Source organism: Homo sapiens, chromosome 2 (genome assembly GCF_000001405.40).
Source record: "Homo sapiens chromosome 2, GRCh38.p14 Primary Assembly".
Taxonomy (NCBI): Eukaryota; Metazoa; Chordata; class Mammalia; order Primates; family Hominidae; genus Homo; species Homo sapiens.
In genome coordinates this window covers 201,474,869-201,489,482 of record NC_000002.12, presented here as the reverse complement: position 1 = coordinate 201,489,482, position 14,614 = coordinate 201,474,869, and the positions used below count along the sequence as shown (strand labels likewise).

General features: G+C 39.0%; 2 protein-coding genes across 22 annotated transcripts in view, besides 1 other annotated feature; one reads left to right on the top strand and one right to left on the bottom strand.

The window, feature by feature from the left end:
• Nucleotides 1-2,062, top strand: part of CATSPERT (catsper channel auxiliary subunit tau) — a 131,758-nt gene extending 129,696 nt beyond the window's left edge. For 18 of the 19 annotated variants that reach the window (XM_047443510.1, XM_047443509.1, XM_047443508.1 and 15 more), the window contains one exon: nt 1,581-2,062. In XM_047443510.1, coding sequence (XP_047299466.1) covers nt 1,581-1,871 — 291 coding nt within the window. In that variant the 3' untranslated portion in view covers nt 1,872-2,062. Of the gene's footprint in view, nt 1-393; nt 590-1,580 lie in introns of all 19 variants that reach the window. The other variant, XR_007069662.1, reaches the window with a different exon arrangement.
• Nucleotides 5,218-5,976: an enhancer, noted in NCBI's record as "OCT4-NANOG-H3K27ac hESC enhancer chr2:202348230-202348988 (GRCh37/hg19 assembly coordinates)". NCBI's record gives its function as "activates a minimal SCP1, AML or CMV promoter by ChIP-STARR-seq in naive and primed H9 embryonic stem cells {active_cell/tissue: H9 hESC(naive and primed)}" and the evidence as "EXISTENCE:reporter gene assay evidence [ECO:0000049][PMID:30033119]".
• Nucleotides 8,637-14,614, bottom strand: part of STRADB (STE20 related adaptor beta) — a 29,107-nt gene continuing 23,129 nt past the window's right edge. The window contains exons 7-12 of one of the 3 annotated variants that reach the window (NM_001206864.2): nt 13,741-13,864; nt 11,693-11,864; nt 11,292-11,396; nt 10,882-11,126; nt 9,952-9,994; nt 8,637-9,475 (exon numbers count right to left, since the gene is read on the bottom strand). In NM_001206864.2, the coding sequence (NP_001193793.1) occupies nt 9,455-9,475; nt 9,952-9,994; nt 10,882-11,126; nt 11,292-11,396; nt 11,693-11,864; nt 13,741-13,864 (710 nt within the window). In that variant the 3' untranslated portion in view covers nt 8,637-9,454. The remainder of the gene's footprint in view (nt 9,476-9,951; nt 9,995-10,881; nt 11,127-11,291; nt 11,397-11,692; nt 11,865-13,740; nt 13,865-14,614) is intronic. The other 2 variants (NM_018571.6, XM_005246669.3) reach the window with 2 other exon arrangements.

Sequence of the window (14,614 nt, the reverse complement as noted above, 5' to 3'; positions counted from 1 at the left end):
TTATACTTTCAATTTTGGATTTTTCTTTTCTATCTAAATTCGGAAACTTAGTATTGAGGGGGTGAGTGTATATACACACGTGTCTACACACTCGGAAAAAAGGTAGAAGATGGGGTGATAGTCTTCAAAGAGGATTTTCTGAATTTTTTAAGACAAATGGAATCTTTAATACAACTTTTCAAGCAAAGTAAGAAATTGTGTTTATGTTAAATGATATAAGATTATATAGGATCTCAGAACCCTTATCCTAAGAGCAGGCAAGGGAGATAGAGTTATCTTTATTTCTCTCAGTTAAACCAACTGTTCCTAAACTTTCCTCTAATAGATAATTGTGTGGTAAGAGGGCATTTTTCAGATGATAACAACTTACTCATCTGATTTTCTAAAATCCAGGAATCTCCCAAAGGAATCAAGACAGAAGAGAGAAATTGAGTCGTAGGAGCACCTAGAAAAGTGACCAGTGGCCTGGGTCTCCATGCCCTTCCACTGCCACTCCAGTAATCAAGTTATATCAGCTGTGAAGGAAAATTATGTGTTACTCACTAACATAGCATAAATTATCTCATTGTGGCTTCCCTAATTGTCTTGTGTACGTAAGAGGGAAGAGGAAGAATGTTTTCTTGCCTTCTCCAAACTCAGGCAGAAATGTTAAATAGGTAGAATTTATCTTTAGACTCGTTATACAGTCTTTTTTGTAAATCTTTTTCTGACTGCCTAATTCTTATTAGTCCTGCCCAATGTTCCCTGATCCCCAGTTCTATTAATCCATCCCCACCTGTGTTCAAATCAAGCAGCCCATTCCCTTGGTGTGGCTATCTTTGCAAAGTATTATGAGATGAGCTGCTCAAACTGCTGAGGAAATTGTTTACCCTAATTTGAGGGTAACTACTAGATTCATACCTTATATAGCTATATAATAGAAAATTTGAAAAAGAATCATTTACTATGGTATATATCCTTCCAGTTATTTTACCAAATGTTTTACTTGTTTACTCAGAGTATACATGCAATTTTTTATTTTTAATGTAAACATTATAACCATATTCTTGGGTGTGGCACACACTCTCTCCCTCTGTATGTACATAAATTAAAGATGGTTATTAAAGGATGAAAGATCAAATTTTGGATGATATGAAAAGTAAAATATAAGAGTTCATAATTTATATTTGGGGTCGGAGAGAGAGATTTTGTTGGAGAGAAATTACAAAGTAATCTGGCCAGCATTGCTTAGGAGTCTGACCCCTGAGGTCAGCTCTCAAGTTTTTCAGGTTTCTAGCTTATCTTCAATATCTTTTGAAATAACGGATACTTTGTAACAGATCTTTTTAAAGCATGGTTGCTAGCATAGTATCTAGCACAGTATCTAATGGGAGGCATCGGGTGTAGGGTCTGAATTTAGAGACTGCCTAAGAAACGTTCAGTGTTTTCATTCTTTGTCTTTAACTGTTGCTATTATAAACTTTAGTCCTTGTTTGTTTTTCTTTTTTCTTTTGACCATCCATGTCAGAAGTCCTTGTAAATTTAAAACCTACTTTTAAGAAACCTAATTTACCAATTGGATCTTTTATTTTATTATTTAGGATTGTTCAGATAAATTTGAGGATTTACATGACATGACCTCATTTACACACCTTAAAAAAGTAAAATCAAGATCAAGGCTTTTAGGAAAAAGCTCAGATGATATCCATAACCATGCCAGACACTCTGCAAGACCATATACTGCTCCGGAGGTTAACAAGCAACGAGAAAGCTACAGTGGAAAGTTTACAAGTCGTCGAATGGTTTCATCAGGCTTAGTTCATATAAATGATAAAACATCAGATTATGAAATGCATAAAATGCGGCCAAAAAAAATTAAAAGAGGATATTGAAAAATGTTCGCTCATTTGTGATATTATAAAACATGTTTAACTCAGAATGATATGTGAGGCCAGCAGTCAGAATATCACTTCTCCATTAACAAAATGGTTTGGAGATCTCTTCTTTTGTGTGACAGAAGTCAGCAACCAAATTTCATCTTGTTAGAACCATTTTGTTTTGATTAAAATGAAAAACAAACACATTTGATGTAAATGTGTTTTTGTTCATGAACCTTAGGGAACAAACCCAGAAATACGTATTCAGTTTATATTCATTAACAAAGTTTTATTTCTCAGTTTTTCTTAATTTTTCCACTATATAATATCACTCCAATTTGTATTTCTCTGACTTCTCCAACCTTTGTTACACTGTAAATTTTCCCTTTCTACCCAGTTTTCAGGTGATTTGTGGTTATCAATGTGTGCAGCCTTTTGTTATGAATATATACTTTTAGGCCAGGCACCGTGGCTCACGCCTGTAATCTCAGCACTTTGGGAGGCCAAGGTGAATGGATGGCTTGAGCCCAGGAGTTCTAGACCAGCCTGGGCAACATGGCGAAACCGTGTCTCTACAAAAAATCAGCTGGGCGTGATAGCGTGCCTGTGGTCCCAGCTACTCAGGAAGCTGAGGTGGGAGAACCACCTGAGCCTGGGAGGCCAAGGCTGCAGTGAGCTGTGAGAGTGACACCCCTCTCAAGAAAAAAAAAAAAGAATACATACTTTTACTCTTCAGCTCTAGTTATATTTCTAGATTCAACAGTTTGCAATTCTCTGGGCCTTATACTTGTTTATTAACTTTTTTGGGACAGAGTTCTCGCTATGTTGCCCAGGCTGGTCTCGAACTTTGGGCTCAAACGATCCTCCCGCCTCAGCTTGTCAAATAACTGAGATTTAAAGGTGTGTGCCACCACTACCAGCTGAACTTTTATTCATTTTAACATCATCTGATATTGCATCTTTTTACACAAAAAACATAAGAATATAGTTAATATTAATTCCTGAAGCATCTCTTACACAGCAGTGACTTTCTAAGTTACTCATACAACTGTGAAAGGGCCTCTTAGTAACACCATGCTTGGGAAACTGCATAAAATTGTAGAAACTGAATAAAATATAATCTAGCTAAATCAACATAGGATTTAAATCAGACTTCTGAGAATTGGTTCTATTTCTTTGTAAGTACAATATTTGGATCTTGTTGAACTTTGATCCACTCTTGAAAAGCAAAATTCGATTTACAGAATTTTTGTTTCTATTTTTCTACCAGAAGTTATAAAGACTATGGGGTTTAAATAGAATTGGCTGATGGAAAACATAATTCCTGATCATTCAATGTTATAATCAGGATAGAAATTTTTTATAGGGACTAAGAATTTCCAATAATCCTCAAAGTTGTAAGTATTTTTTTCAATCACCATGTAACTGGGAAAACACAACTCCAGATCTTTCAGGTAGAAGGAATACAGGGAGTTGGTTTTGTGGGTGATGGAATCAAGGCTAAGAAGCAAAAAGGGATGTTGAAGCAACCCAGGGATTAGCAAGAGTGGGAAGTGCTACCACCACTCAGATGGAAAGGACAGCAGGAGGAACTGGTGCTACCAGAGTCTTGAAGCTAGAGACAAAGATGATACCGCCACTGCCAGGGACACTCGAAGCAGAAGGGGAGTGGGGCAAAGGGTGAGAAATACCATGTTTCTCCTCTCTCGTTCTGCTCTCTGATCTTCTGTTGCCTCCCTGGAAACCAGAGTTTGTGGGTACATGGGAAACGTAGATCCCAGTGAAGCAGAACAGGGAGAGAGTGGAAAATGAACTTGAGAGCTAATAGGCAATTGGCCAACAGTACTTATGAGGGAAACCATTGATTTGGTTTGCAGTAAAGGAAGAAATATTAATCTCTGCCTCATTAAATTTTTAATGGCAATATTGTGACAAGCAAAGAATTTAAAACTTCTTACCATGGAAATCTCTTACATTTTCTTTTCAAAAGTCTTTTTTTTTTAATTCAAATACTTATTCAAGAAAGAATTCAATAAATATTAAACATCTACAAAATGCCAGACACTTTTACTAAACAGCAATATACCAGTGAATGAGACAATATTCTCCGAAGTCCACAGTCCTTTGTGAACATAAACACAGAAGTAATTAGAGTTGTGTAAGTGCTTTTTGGGGAAGGTACTATAGAAGCTCATAGGAGGGCATTTTAGCTAAAGTGACTGCTAGTTTGGGTCCTTTGAAAAGCAGACACCAAAATGAAATTAGATGTGTGGTAGTCATGGCCCCTACTAATGTGTCCATGTCCTAATCCCAGGAACCTGTGAATGTTACCTTATGTGATGAGAGATTTTTGCAACTGTGATTAAACCAAAGGTGTTGAGATCGGGGGAATTATCCCAAATTATCTGGGTGGGCACAATATAATCACACAAGTCAGAGAAGGAGATGGGACCACAGAAGCAGAAGTTGGAGCAGTGCTGTGCCATGAGGGAAGGAAGTAGGAAGCCTCTAGAATCTGGGAAGGCAATAGATTCTCCCCTAGAGACTCCGGAAGGAGTGTAGCACTGCCAATCCATTTTAAACTTCTGACCTCGAGAACTGTCAGATAATAAATGTGCATTGTTTTAAGCCACTGAGTTTGTGGTAATTTGTCACAGCCGTGATAGGAAATTAATACCACCTGCAACAGATGTTTTGCGGGGAAAAGTCTGGGAGGGAAAAATAGGGAGGCAGTAGAAGATGGCTGGGAGAGCTGTCCAAGATGTAAGTCTGACCAATGTGGAAGAGAGGGAGGAAGACAAGAAGGCAGAATAGGAAATGTCTTAGACTGCAGTGTCATTCCTTTTTTTTTTTTTTTAATACTTTAAGTTTTAGGGTACATGTGCACATTGTGCGGGTTAGTTACGTATGTATACATGTGCCATGCTGGTGTGCTGCACCCACTAACTCGTCATCTAGCATTAGGTATATCTCCCAATGCTATCCCTCCCCCCTCCCCCCACCCCACCACAGTCCCCCGAGTGTGATATTCCCCTTCCTGTGTCCATGTGATCTCATTGTTCAATTCCCACCTATGGGTGAGAATATGCGGTGTTTGGTTTTTTGTTCTTGCGATAGTTTACTGAGAATGATGATTTCCAATTTCATCCATGTCCCTACAAAGGACATGAACTCATCATTTTTTATGGCTGCATAGTATTCCATGGTGTATATGTGCCACATTTTCTTAATCCAGTCTATCATTGTTGGACATTTGGGTTGGTTCCAAGTCTTTGCTATTGTGAATAATGCTGCAATAAACATACGTGTGCATGTGTCTTTATAGCAGCATGATTTATAGTCCTTTGGGTATATACCCAGTAATGGGATGGCTGGGTCAAATGGTATTTCTAGTTCTAGATCCCTGAGGAATCGCCACACTGACTTCCACAATGGTTGAACGAGTTTACAGTCCTACCAACAGTGTAAAAGTGTTCCTATTTCTCCACATCCTCTCCAGCACCTGTTGTTTCCTGACTTTTTAATGATTGCCATTCTAACTGGTGTGAGATGGTATCTCATTGTGGTTTTGATTTGCATTTCTCTGATGGCCAGTGCAGTGTCATTCTAAGTAAGTTTCAGTCGGGCTGATGGGGAGTGCTCCAGCCGAAGCCATTAATCACAAAAGGCCTTTGTCTCCCAGGAATGGGCCTGACTTGCAATCCCTGCTTCCAGGGGTAGGGATAGGATGAGGCAGGTATGGTAGGTAGCATAATGTTCCCCCAAAGATGCCTACATCCTAAGGCCCAGAACCTGTTAATATGTTAGGTTACGTGGCTAAAGGAACTACGATTGCAGACAGAATTAAGGTTGCTTATCAGCTGACTGTAGACAGGGAAGCTATCCCAGATTATCTCATTATGCCCAGTGTAATCACAGGGGTCTTTAAAAAGTAGAAGATAGAATCAAAGAGAGAACCAGAGAAATGGCAGAATGAGGATTCAGCCCCAAATTGCTGACTTTGAAGATGGACAAACAGGGCCATGAGCCAAGGAACATGAATAGTCGCTAAAAACTGGAAAGGCCAAGGAAACAGATTCCCATCTGGAGCCTCCAGAAGGAATGGAGCACTGCCAAAACCTTGATTTTAGCTCAGTAAGACTGATTTCAAACTTCTGGACCAGAACTTCAGAATAATAAATTTGTGTTGCTTAAGCCACTAAGTTTGTGGCAATTTGTTACAGCAGCCATTGGAAATACAGCAAGCAAGGAGCCTGAGGCACAAAATTTAAGAAAGCACTCACAGGGTGAAGTCATCACTCATGGTGATACCCATGGTGATGGTTGATTTTGTGTGTCAACTGTACTGGGCCACAGGTGCCCAGATACTTGGTCAAACATTATTCTGAATGCCTGTAGTCCCAGCACTTTGGGAGTCCGAGGTCAGGAGTTCTAGACCAGCCTGGCCAACATGGTGAAACCCCATCTCTACTAAAAATGCAAAAATTAGCTGGGCATGGTGATGGGAGCCTGTAATCCCAGCTACTTGGGAGGCTGAGGCAGGAGAATCACTTGAACCCGGGAGGCAGAGGTTACAGTGAGCTGAGATCATGCCACTGCACTCCAGCCTGGGCGACGGAGCAAGACTCCATCTCAAACAAACAAAAAATAACATTATTCTGAGTGTCTCTGTGAGGATGTGTATTAGGGTTCTCCAGAGGGACAGAACTAATGAATATATGAAATGGAGTTTACTAGGGAGAATTGGCTCACACTATCACAAGGTGAAGTCCTGCAGTAGGCCATCTGCTAGCTGAGGAAGAAAGAAGCCAGCAGTTGCTCCATCCAATTCCAAAAGCCTCAAAAGCAGCAAAGCCAACAGTGCAACCCTCGGTCTGTGGCTGAAGGCACAAAAGTCCCCAGGAGGCCCTTGTGCAACTCCCAGAGTCCGAAGGCCAAAGAACCTAGAGTCTGATGTCCAAGGGCAGGAGGAGTGGAAGGAAGCATCCAGCATGGAAGAAAGATGAAATCCACAAGGCTCAGCAAGCAAGGTTATCCCTCTTCTGGCCGCCATCTAGCCGTTTGGCAGCTGACTGCATGGTGCCCACCTACATTGAGGGTGGGTCTTCCTCTCCCAGTCCACTGACTCAAACGTCAATCTCCTCTGGCAACACCCTCATAGACACACCCAGAAACAATACTTTACCACAGGAGTCCCCAAACCCCGCTGTGGACCCATACGGGTCAGTGGCCTGTTGGGAACCCAGCGTCACAGCAGATGAGCAGCAGGGTGGGTGAGCATTACCGCCTGAGTTCTGCCTCCTGTCAGATCAGCGGCCACATTAAATTCTCATAGGAGCACCAACCCTATTGTGAACTCACACACAAGTGATCTAGGTCGTGCTGCTCCTTATGAGAATCTAATGCCTGATCTGAGATGGAACAGTTTCATCCTGAAACCATCCCCCACCCCATGGTAAAACTGTATACCACAAAACTGGTGCCAAAAAGGTTGGGACCACTGTGTTATCAGCTATCTAGACATCCTTCAATCCAATCAAGTTGACACTTAATATTAACCATCACACGGTGTTTCTGGATCAGACTAACATTTAAATCGGTCGACTAAGTGAAGCAGATTGCACTCTCTAATATGAGTGGACCTCATCCAATCAATTGAAGGCCTGAATAGAAGAGGAAGGCTAAACTTCCCCCAAGTAAAAGAGAATTCCTCCTGCCTGAATGCATTTGAACTGGGACATTGGCTTTTTACTGCCTTTGGACTCAAACTGAAACACTGACTCTTCCTGGGTCTTGAGTCTGACAACCTTTGGATGAGAACTACACTATCAGCTCTTCTGGATGTCCAGCTTGCTAACTCACCTGGCAGATCTTTGGACTTGTCAGCCTCCACAATCGCATGAACCAATTCCTTATAATAAATCAGTTTATGTATGTATGTATATAAAATATAGATATATTATATACACACATCGATTCTGTTGGCTATTTCTCTGGAGTACCCTAACACACCCCATAGTAGAAGATCTGAGAAGCACCATTTCGGGCCCTCTATGGTCCAATTTTTAAACTACACACATTCAGGAGAACCTCCACACAGATTTGAAAGACCTCTAAGGTCTCTGTGGGCCTCTCTTACGGAAGGGAAATTTAGAAGGGGGAGGTTAGTAGGATGAACTATAGCCCTTACCACTAGAGTTGCTCTTAGGGCCTCAGCGGTCTTCATCTTCTCCCTTTTCCACTGTCCATTTTAAATTCTTTCACTTTGGTGGGTCTTGGTGGCTTAACGGATGGAGTAACCCAAACCTTCATTCTTGAGGGGGTCCAGTCAATAAACATGAAGATAATTGTGCTTGAAATCGCCTATGGATTTGTATATTATTTGTCTTTTTAATTTTTTAGTCCTGAGGTAATCATTTTAAAATAACTTTTAATGTAATATAAATAAGATTGTATAAATTAAGAAAATCAACTGAAGTAGGTCCCAGTTTACCACACCTCCAAACTATGTATTCTTTTTGAGACATGGCAGAGTCTCTTTTCTAATTAGGAAATATTAATTAATTAAGACCTCTATGCCCTCATATGTTGTATCTCCTACAGGAGCAATAACCATACAAAAGGCCAGAATGCCTTCTGCCTCCATTTAATCAAATACTCAGTTGATTATAGATTATGTAAATAAATCTGCTTGAGAAAGGGCTTTTCTTGGCAAAACAAATCAGAATCTGTATATTAGCTCTGTCAGACTATGCAAGGAAAATAAATAAAAGCATAAACTCAATTCAGTAAATCTTTATTGAGCTCCCACGGGGTGCGTGAATTTAGGATCTATAATTTACATAAGTAGGAAAGTGTTACTTTAGCCCCCTTGTTTAAAAAAAAGCAAATTACAATTTCTGTATATATTTCAAGTGAATCATTTAATGTGAGTGAGGCTCAGTTAGGTGTTACCATAAGTATTAACAGAAGAAAAAGGGAAAGCACAAACATTTTCCCTCTACCAGAAAAGGGTCTGATGTAAGATAAACTAGCCTGTTGGTTTAACAATAGCTCATTAAAAAGGCCAGAGAATCTGGGAGAAGATGTACTTGGAAGCACTGTCCTCTGAGGGCCCATTCCCAAGGGACAGCAAAATACTGAAAAAAATTAACTGGCTCAAAAATTATATTGAGAGATAAAAAGAGTTAGTCACAGCTTAGAAAAAAATTCCAGAATAAATGACACTAGCTAGATTAGTAATTCTGATGTTTCCTTGTCATAGTACTCTGTGCGAAACAGAGGGACTACAAACTGGTGCCCCTTTGAACAGAGTGGTTTTAAATAATAGATTCTCCAGTGCACCAACTGTATTTTCAAGTATAATTCTGGTATTTGTACCTAGAAATACAGAAGAAAAAGCAGCAAGGAGAAAGTGTCAAGTATATAGGACATAAAATGATTTGGCAGCCCTAGAATTCCCAGTATGAGTCTTTTTCATCAGGAAAATCACATTCTGGCTCAGTCCAAGGTAACACTGGAGGCAATGATATTGATGGCTTGTTATAAGCAGGAGGCAACAGTGAAAGTATTGAATCCTGGCTTTCTTCTTTCATCTGTTAAAGAAACTCAAAATAAGGCTGTTGATATATCATTTCAATATATCAGTTTTGTTAGCAATAAATAACTTTTAAAGAATTTATGTTAAATGTGTTTAAAATTGTTTTCAGGTATTTCCCCTAAAACTGCCTTTGATTCTGGTCATCTGAAAACAGGAAGAAGAGCCAAAGAAACTGACTTCTTATCAGAGTTACTTTGCCCTTTCATCATTTCTAGCCAACATAGAAAATGTCTCTAAATTAATCAAAATATACACCAAGCATCAGTAATGTGATGATAGTCCATTTTATTTTTACTCATTCTGTTTTGAAGAATGAAAGTATTTTAGAAAGTCTATAATTGAACTACCAAAAGTTTTCTTGTTTTTAACTTTATTTTGTAACAAAGTTATTAGTAAGAACCTTGGTAACCAAAATATCTCATCAAGCCAACAAAATAAAGTGACTTTTTAATAGTAATTAAAAACATCGAGACAACGGATGATAGATCAGCTCACCTGTTTGAAGAAAACATGGGACAATAAACTGCTTGCTGATGGCCTGAAATTTTTAAGAAAGTTATAAAAAAAAAACCTTTATATTAGAATGTAGATTTCAGGTGTAAAAATATGTTAGAAATTAGGTTTAGTGCTATAAAACCCAATACGAAAAAGATTAAAAAGAATGTATGTCAGAAGCCCAATTCTTAGCTACAACCTTGACTAAAGGAAATAATTGTAGAGGTATCCTTCAATTAATCCATACTCAACATTTACTGCACACAGTATTTACTGACAGTAACTTAGTAGGGTAGCAGCAATTTACATTTTATACTACTTAGAGTCTTAACGTAAATGTGCTAATTAATGTCTAGAAAGAGTAACTGATTTTTACTCTCATTTTTATTGTAAAAATCAGTTAGAAAATGATACAGCTGAGACTGGAGCCCAACTCTTCTGATTTTTTTTTTTTCTTTTGAGATGGAGTCTCGCTCTGTCACCTAGGTTACAGTGCAGTGGCATGATCTCGGCTCACTGCAACCTCTGCTTACTGGGTTCAAGCAATTCTCCTCTCTCAGCCTCCCGAGTAGCTGGGACTACAGGTGCATGCCACCACACCGGCTAATTTTTGTATTTTTAGTAGAGACGGGGTTTCACCATGTTGGCCAGGCTGGTCTTGAACTCCTGACCTCAGGCAATCCACCCGCCTCGGCCTCCCAAAGTTCTGGGATTACAGGTGTGAGCCACCGCACCCAGCCTCTTCTGATTTTGAATCCAGTATTCTTCTCATTTGCTTGTTCCCACTAATTGTTCTTAGCATTGATATTTTCTAGAGCAGACAATATTTTGATCAAAAGATTTGTATTCTCCTGGAAGGGCAATGTTACAAAGCTTCTATAAAATGTAAAACATGTACATTTTGTGCTATTTAAAAGAGATCAATATTACCTTTTCTCAGGATCTTGTTGCAAACAGAGCTGTACCAAGCTAAAGAAGGCAGGAGAGAAAGTTTTTGAGGATGGTGTGTGTAATCGGTCACTATTTACTGTGTGAGTTCCACTGGAGACAAGCACACTTTCTCCAATCCCAGAGTCTACACCTGACTGGGAATTTTTCATTCTGGATTCTGATTGAGGGAAAATACTGATATCCAATGGGCTATAAGGAGGACCTTTCAGTTTCTGTAACAGCATCTAAAAGAAACAGAACTTTCCTTCAACACTTTTCAGGCAAAATATTAAAACAGTAACAACAATAAAGCTCCTAAGAGTCTATAGCAAACATGTTTAACAGAAATTATCTAGAATGTAAGCAGTCTTATGAAAGGCAAGTAGCTCAGGGATTTTAGCAGCACTTACCTGAGTTCTATGCATGTCCTGGAAAGGCACCTGCCCACTGGCTAATTCACATGCTGTAATCCCAACACTGTAAATATCTGACTTCACATTATACCCATGTAAATCCTGTAGGACACAATTAATTTGAAGTCTTTTAGTGCAAATAAGTTAACCAAAAGTTATACACATGTGCTTTTTTGATAAAGAATGGTGAACAATAATGGAAAAGAAACCCATAAGCGACAAATCAAGACACACTTCATATATGGTATTTAATTTCCTAACATAATTTTGACAAGAAAGAGAAATAAAGTCTTGCAGAAGGCCATTCACCAATCCAAATATAAAGACACAACTGTACTTTAGCCAAACTCAGAAGACACTTGAGACACAGACAACCCAATCCAACGGCCACACCTGACCTGTCTCAGTAGTTCTGGACTCAGCCACGGCTGCACTGATGTGCTGAACTGTGGGAAATCATACACAGCCCTATGCCTCTGTCCATGCTTAACCAAACTATGCAGATGGGACAGGCCAGAGAGGGTCACTAGGCCATCACCAGAAATGAGGATATGGCTGGCTTTAATACTCCTAGAACAAAAAGAAACAATGCTAAGTAACAGGAAACTGGCCAATGAAGAAAGAATAAAAATCTGGCAGGAACAAATCCATATATTCTCTTGGAAATTAAATACCCTTTACAAAACAGCAGTATAAACTGCAAAACAGTACTGCAAAACTGCTGTTTACACAGGAAATGTTCAGGGAATAGGAATTCTTTCAGCTACTTACTACAGCACCAACACAAGTAAAGATATAATTGAAAGCTACGTGTTAAGAACTGATAGCCGGGTGCGGTGGCTCACGCCTGTAATCCCAGCACTTTGGGAGGCTGAGGCGGGCAGATCACGAGGTCAGGAGATCGAGGCCATCCTGGATAACATGGTGAAACCCCGTCTCTACTAAAAATATAAAAAATTAGCCAGGCGTGGTGGCAGGTGCCTGTAGTCCCAGCTACTTGGGAGGCTGAGGCAGGAGAATGGCATGAACCCAGGAGGTGGAGCTTGCAGTGAGCCAAGATTGCACCACTGCACTCCAGCCTGGGGGACAGAGTGAGACTCTGTCTGTCTCAAAAAAAAAAAAAAAAAAAAAAAAAACTGATAATATTTTTTCAAACAAGAAATGGAATCAAATAATTAATTTCACTTTTTTTTTTTTTTTTTTTTTTGAGACAGAATCTCACTCTGTGGCCCAGGCTGGAGTGCAGTGGAGTGATCCTGGCTTACTGCAACCTTCACCTCCTGGGTTCAAGTGATTCTCCTGCCTCAGCCTCCTGAGTAGCTGGGACTGCAGGTGTGTGCCACCACACCTGGCTAATTTTTTTTTTTTGTATTTTTAGTAGAGACAGGGTTTCACCATCTTGGCCAGGCTAGTCTCAAACTCATGACCTCAAGTGATCTGCACGCCTCGGCCTCTCAAAGTGCTGGGATTACAGGCATGAGCCACCATGCCTGGCCAATTTCACTATTTTTGAATGCTGTTACAAAACACCTAATAAGCTATCTAAAAAAAAATCAAACAATATTTGAAATATAAGGTTATAAAGCTAAATGTAATACTATCCAATAAGTCTCTCATACATCATTTATAAAAATATATCTTATACATTTCCTTTAATTGTCAGATAAATTATAAGAGCCTTGTTTTTCGATACCAAACACTGAATTTAGAAACTTAACAGAGGAGGATGGCCAATCATCTGGTGACATATAATGAAACCTCAGTTAACCAGAATATAGTGTGTTGGAAATCCTTGGTTAACTAGAATTTTGCTAAAAAAAAAAAAAAAAAGTAAGACAAAAAGCTTTAAGGGGATTGAAACAAACAATAGGAAAGCAAGCTTATTTAAAAGTAACTTAATTAAAAAGTAAGACAAAGTCACAGTATATCTTAGAATAGCACTGTTTTTAACATTCAATCACTTTTGCATATACACTTTGGTAACAAGAGAAGTGATATTTAGGATGATAATCTCAAGGTACTGCAAAATAAGAAATCAAAGAAAAGTTTAATTCCAATTTATGCATAAGATGGAAAGCAGATAATGAAGCTCTTCATTTGCTTAAACAAAAACAAAACGAAAAACACCCAGCTAACTAGGATCCCATTTCCTACAGCTCATCTCCTGAACATCCTCATTAGATTGAGACTGTGAGCTCCATGAGGGCAGGCACTCCACCCCAATCCCAATAACTGCTTGGCACAGAGGATGTGGTCTGAACATGTTTGGCGAATGGACATAAAATGTAAGCAATCCACTGCACCTAATGGTCCCTTCCTCCCTCAATTTTCACTTACAAGTTTCCTATCCCTTTTTTCTAATATTCAACTGCTCCTTCCTAAAACCTCCTTCAAAGAGTTCTTCCATTAAAATTATTTCATTTAATAAATACAAATAAGTAAATACCTGTGAATACAGCCATTTTGGTGCAGATAGTTCAACCCTCTCACGGCTCCAAAGAGAATGTTTCTTATTAAAGTTTCACTCATTCCTTCAGGAAAATAGGTCCTCAAGAGTTGACTTGCTGAACCTGAAAGAAACCCCTAAAATCCTTAGATGAACATTGAAAGTGATTTTGCTTCCAGCTGTATTTTAATGTTCTTTTCAACCATAAACACAAACATACCTGTTACTTTTTGGAGTCTAACCCAAACAACACTTTCCCACACAAACATGATTTTCTTTCAAGAATCTTTAAACAATTTTTTGTAATGACACTTTAGAGATTAGGGAAGAGAATTAATGATTTGTCAATATTATTGAATAAAAATACATTCTGTGTGTATATATATATATTTTTTTTTTTCTTAAATCCAGAAGCAATTCACAAAAGCTGTCCTAAAAATCAAAGCTCTAGAATCCATTCACTATTTATTCAACACAATTATTGAACACTACTTTGTGCTAAGTACTACGTGAGCACCTGGGGACACCACAAATAAAAAATATATAAATGATCCCGGCCCTCAAGAAGCACAAGTCCAGTGAGGGACATGGACACACACAAAGATGTTTCTAATACAGTGAAATAGTTTACAATGCAGTGAAACGGACAGGGATGGGGGGCAGAGGTGGAAAAACAACTTCTTCCTGCAGAATAACAGTAGGTCTCCATTAAAAGAGGGGAAGGAAGCTGAAGGGAAGACACAGCTTGTGCAAAGGCACGGAATTCTTGGAAAAGCAGTGGTGGTTCACTGATCATCATACCAATTCTTACTTTTTTCTGCAGACTAAAATTCAACATGTACCAGATATAGAAATATACCATGAAATCTAAAAT